We start from the raw sequence: 6,000 nt of genomic DNA, 5'->3' as shown, positions 1-6,000 counted from the left end.
ATATTCACAACTAACACAGACATCAACACAGTTTGACAGCCTATTAGTCTTGCAAATATGAATTTATCAATAGTTGAGATAACACAATAAAAAAGTGGAACCCATTGGAAGGCTTTCAAGCAGTGAAGGCCATTTAATTATGTAAAACTAACAAAGCAGAGAGAAGTTAGAACAGACCTTCATTTGGGGCAAAATGAAATCAGAGTCAATAATATCAGTGGTTTGGAAATATTCTAAAAATCTGGGGACAGGATTGACCCATTTGTAATCTGTAAATGTACTGCTTTCTTATACAAAGTTTATACCAGTGGGTTGAGTAGGGAATAAACTATTTGTGCTTTCCATATATATACACACATTTCACAGAACTATAGACAGATGTTTAAATAAAAACAAAACAACTTTACTTCATTCTTGCTTTCTACCAAAACACATTTCTTATTATTGGATCTAAATTAACTGAGGCCTGGATGTGGTGGCTCATGCCTGTAATCCCAGCACTCTGGGAGGCCGAGGTGGGAGGATCTTTTGAGGCCACCAGTTTGAGACCAGCCTGGACAGCATAGTGAAACCCAATCTCTGTAAAAAAATTAAAAATTAGTCAGGTGCAGCGGCATGTGCCTGTAATCTCAGCTCCTCAGGAAGCTAAGGTAGGAGGATCTCTTGAGCCCAGAAGGCTATGGCTGCAGTGAGCTATGATTGCACCATTGCGCTCCAGCCTGGGCAACAGAGCGAGATCCTGTCTCAAAAAAAAAAAAAAAAGATAAATTAATCAACAGGTCTATATTTTTGAGAACTGACATTTATCCTCACTTAAAAATTCTTATCTCACACATATATATACACACACGCATGCACCCATACACATACACACACACACATACATGGAACAGTTAGTTCCTCATAAGACTGAAAGCAAAGGATGTTGCTCCTCCCAGTTGCCTTTTTACTGAGAATTTCGCATGTTTTTTTTTTAATTATTACAGACTCCTTTTAAAATGCATGGAAGATGCCCCTTTCAAAATTCAGTTTTTTAGAACTAACAAATAATATTTAAAAGGGGATTTTCATTCCAAAACTTGAGTCTTTGGAGGATAACTTAAAATATATGGCTTTAAAATTAAGGCTCAAAGTAGTGTTTAAAAATACATTTAAAACCCCATATTTCTGTATTATAATCAATAATGAATGGGCATAGTTTGAGTCACATTTTATTGGATGCTTTTGCCTAATAGCCTAAAATGATCCACAGAACAAAACTGACCAAATGAATTCCTAATATATCTGTTGCTATTTATCAAGAAGCAGTAAATTGGACAACTATGCTATTTTATTTTACATTAAAAATGTACATAAATATGTCAGATATTTTGCTATGATGAACTACATAATAAATACACAAGTTAATTTATTAATGAATACTACAGATTAACATGTTAGGCAATTTATCTTGAGATTAATTTATAAGCTCATAGTGTTAGAAGAGTATCTGTCTATCTCTGGCCTTCAAATGACAGTTTTAACCAGATTCATAATTGTCTATTCTCTTGCTTATAACATAGAATTATTTCACTTTCCAGACATAGAAAATGTTAAATCTTTCTTGATATTTATCTTTAGTATTTCCATGACTTAACAACAATCATTGCTCCTTATAGTCATAAATTGTTTTCATGAAAATTTTTTTGTTCTTATTTAGACATAGAGGAACAATGCTCATTATTTTTTCTCTGGAAATAAATTTTACAAGTGAATACTAATCAAGTCAGTACCTTAGCCTTTTAAGACTAAAAATGCCAATTCCCTTAGCTTGTCTCAAGGACCTAAATTAGATCTTTTTAGCTACTTTTTTATTCTTTGAACTCTCATCAATTTCTACACATCCTTTAAAAATGTGGTTCAAAGCAGGAAATAATTTTCAAATGAAAGTATAATTAGGGCCAGGTGCGGTGGCTCACGCTTGTAATCCCAGCACTTTGGGAAGCTGAGGTGGGAGGATCACTTGAAGTCAGGAGTTTGATACCAGCCTGGCCAACATGGTGAAAACCCGTCTCTACTAAAAATACAAAAATTAGCCGGGCATAGTGGTGCGCAACTGTAATCCCAGCTACTCAGGAGGCTGAAGCAGGAGAATCACTTGAACCCGGGAGGCAGAGGTTGCAGTGCACTGAGATCACGGCACTGCACTCCAGCCTGGGCAACAAAGCCAGACTCCATCTCAAAAAAATAAAAATAAAAAAATATATATATATATACTTTTATATATATATATAAAAGTATAATTTATACATGAAACAGAGGAAAAATGGTTTCCTGCCTGTTTGGGATATTTCATAAATCATGAAAACTCTTTTTCATCCGCATTGGGGACCGTTCGTGTACTCTAGATAGACCCTCAAGTCTTTTTTCTCTGTGCTTTTTGCCTAGACATTCCTGCACAATTCTATATGTTATTGTTTATGTGTACACCTCACATTTGCTTCTTTTGAGCCTCATTTTAAAAATATGATCATTATCCTAATTTAAATTTTAGTTTATTTTTCCAGGATACTAACCACCCCAATTTATTCAATATCATTTGCAAATTGGTGCAGCATAGTTTTGAATTTTTTGAATAAACAAAAAATATGTTGATTATTACAGGTTCCAAGTCATTCCTGAACCTCCTCTTGGTAAGGCTCTGGAACAACTTGCTCATCAGTCTAAAAGTAGTATGACTGAGAAGATATTTTCCTCACTTATTAAAAAGATGAACATATGTGATGGAATCTAAAATCCATTCATCTGGAGGAAAAAATGGTAGAGAATAGTCAGAAAATCCTTTAAAAGAAAGAATGATAGGGGTAGGAGCTAATCTGCCTTATCATCTATATAATTGAGTCTTCACAATTATTGTATTTGACACTGAGGAAACTGAGACTTAGAAAATATAACTAGCTCAGTGTGGTAGATATTATTATTTGCTTACAGTTCTTCATTTTCTCTAAGTCCCTGACATGCCTTCCCCGTGGAGACAATGCATTTTCCTTTCGCATTCACTTAGGGTTGATTGTGTGATCTTCAGACCAATGCAGTGTACGTGGAAAAAACAATGTGTTGGAGTTGAGGTTTAAGAGTGTGGCAAGTTTCAGCCAGCCTTCTTGTACTCTTACCATCCATTATAAGAAGAATTTATTCCAGGGAGCTGTTGTTATCACAGCCTGAAAAAACAGAAATGTGTAGCACTCAAATCTGACCTGTAGCTTGGAGCAAAGTCCATTTGTGTCCAGAAGAACACTGCAGTGTCACAGCTGACCCAGATACCCACGAAAGAGAAATAAATATTTTTTGTTGTACGCCACTGAGATTTGGGGAAGTGTTTGTCACACAGCATTATTGCAGAAAAACCTGAACAATACCTCGGAATCACACAGCTAAAAAATGTCAACGAAATAGAGGCAAAAATCCGGAACTAGATAACAGCATATCCAAGAATGTAGTGGAGAAAATAATGGATTGCTCAAAAGTGGTGTGGGGATAGTAACTAAGCCCTTGGAAGAAATATTAAATCTCTAATGTATACTTTAAAAAAAGAAACTCTAAGTTGGTAAGAGATATAAATGAAAAATATGAAAAGATAAAGATAATATAATTAGAATAAAATACTGAATTTTTTCTTACTAATCTTGTAAAGAATGTCTAAGAGTGATACCAAAGTCATTAATTGGAATACATAAAAACTTTGTATGACAAAAATGGCATAAACAAGGTAAAAAGACTAAAGACATACTAAAAAAATACACATCACAAACAAAAAATTAATATTTGTAATCCTAGAGAGGTGCTTACAAGTCAATAATAATAAGAGGTATACTCCAGAAGAACAGCAGGAATAAGATAATAGGCCATAGACGCATGGAAACAAGATAAACCTCATTACTTATCAAATTCTGGAAATTAAAAGAAACAATAAAATAAAATTTCCCATCTATTGGAATGTAAATGATTTTTAAGATTATATTAACACCTGATATATTCTGAGACTTTGCGGAGTTTGAAAATTAAAAAAAAGAGAGAGAGAAGAAAAACCAATGTAGAAATGTCTTGAGAGCAAAATGACTGTGACCTCTTTTGGAGGACAGTTCAGCAATAACACATATTTTAATTTTAAGAAAAAATATTTAATTTTAACACGAAAGTCTTAAAATTATGCAGACTCATTGAGCATTTACATTTCTTAAGGAATAATCTTGTCAAATGTGAAAAGATGTATTACAATATTCAAAGTAAAAAAAGTTGAAACTACCTAAATGTTAATCAACAGGGGATTGATCAAATAAATTATGGAACATCCATAAAATAAAATGTACGTTTCAACAATAGCCATTAAGAATTATGAAGATCTGTATGGACATTAAAAGACAGCAGTGATTATATATTAAGAGAAAAAAAGGAGGCTATAAAACTGTATGTACAGTGTGATCACTTTTATAAATATGTGAAATATATGTTAATGTAATTAATTCTTGATGAATAGGCAAAATACTATTTATGGTAGTTTTATCTGGATGATAGGTTTATGGTTGATCTTCATATAAGAAAATACTTTTTGTCTATAGTATTGAATGCTTTCTACAATGATAATATATAGTCAGAAATAAAAGCAAAACACTTTCCTTTTAGAAATGAAAAAAATACAAGCAATATCTTCTGCAAATATGGAAAAAGTCTATAGGACTCAAAATGGGTGATATCTATTGTTTACTCCTTGTCTAGGTTCTCATAAATTATTCATGGAAATCCTATCGTACTAATAATTATTTTTCCTTCATTACTCCTTTGCATTCCTTTTCAGAGAGTGACAGGTATTATACTCTGCAGGCATTTATATTATAGAGTATTCTTTATAATAGATATTTTCTTAAGCCATGTTTACATGATTCAAAAAAAATCACATAAATAAAAAACAGTTACATTGGCTAAATTAGAGTATTTCTACACAAACCAATAATTTTAGCTTGAACTTGAACTGACCAACTTGAATGGACCAATTACTTTAGGATTATTTTTAAGATTAAAGTAAAGAAAATTATGAAAATCAACAGTTTCCTTCAGTTATTTAGAGGAAAAAATAATTACAAAAAAGTCTTCAATGAGACAAATTAATTTTACAAAAAATAGCAATTAGGCAATTGATATAATATTATATATATCTATCAATCTGTAGATAGAGATACAGATATAAAAAACCCAGGGATACACTAATAAACTACAGAACTTGTGTAGGACCCATATGAAGAAATTACAAAATTTTCAAAGGATCATTAAAATTTTTGAAAACTTTCTATGTGAGTAAATATTTTAAAGCTGTCCCATCATTTATAAATTTAATGTAATTCAGCGTAGGATTTCCAATAAATTTTTAAAATTAGCTATGACATTAAATTTCTTTTAATTGGGCAGCCTCTGAATCAGAATAGGTCTAGAGAGAGTCCTAAAATTTTTTTATTATGAAAATAATATGGGCTTCTCCTGAAAAATTCAGGCCATGCAGAAGGTGTTAAATGAAAAATATTGTCCTTGGCCTACATCCTAACTCCTCAATCCAACTCCCCAGGGGTAAATCATTGTAAATAGCTTTAAAAAAATTGTGGTAGGGCCAGGCAAGGTGGCTCACGCTTGTAATCCCAGCACTTTGGGAGGTCGAGGCGGGCAGATCACGAGGTCAGGAGTTAGAGACGAGCCTGACCAACATGGTGAAACCCCGTCTCTACTAAAAATAAAAAAATCAGCCGGGCATGGTGGCGTGTGCATGTAATCCCAGCTACTCAGGAGGCTGAGGCAGGAGAATCGCTTGAACCCAGGAGGCAGAGGTTGCAGTGAGCCGAGATTGCGCCACTGCACTCCAGCCTGGGTGACAGAGCGAGACTCTGCGTCAAAAAAAACAATTGTGGTAAATAAAACATATTGTTTTAAACATTTTTAAGTGTACAGTTCAGTAGCATTAGGTACATTCACATT

Source organism: Homo sapiens, chromosome 2 (assembly GCF_000001405.40).
Source record: "Homo sapiens chromosome 2, GRCh38.p14 Primary Assembly".
In the NCBI taxonomy this organism is placed as follows: Eukaryota; Metazoa; Chordata; class Mammalia; order Primates; family Hominidae; genus Homo; species Homo sapiens.
The sequence above is the reverse complement of the archived record's forward strand: the minus strand, read 5'-3'. Positions refer to the sequence as shown.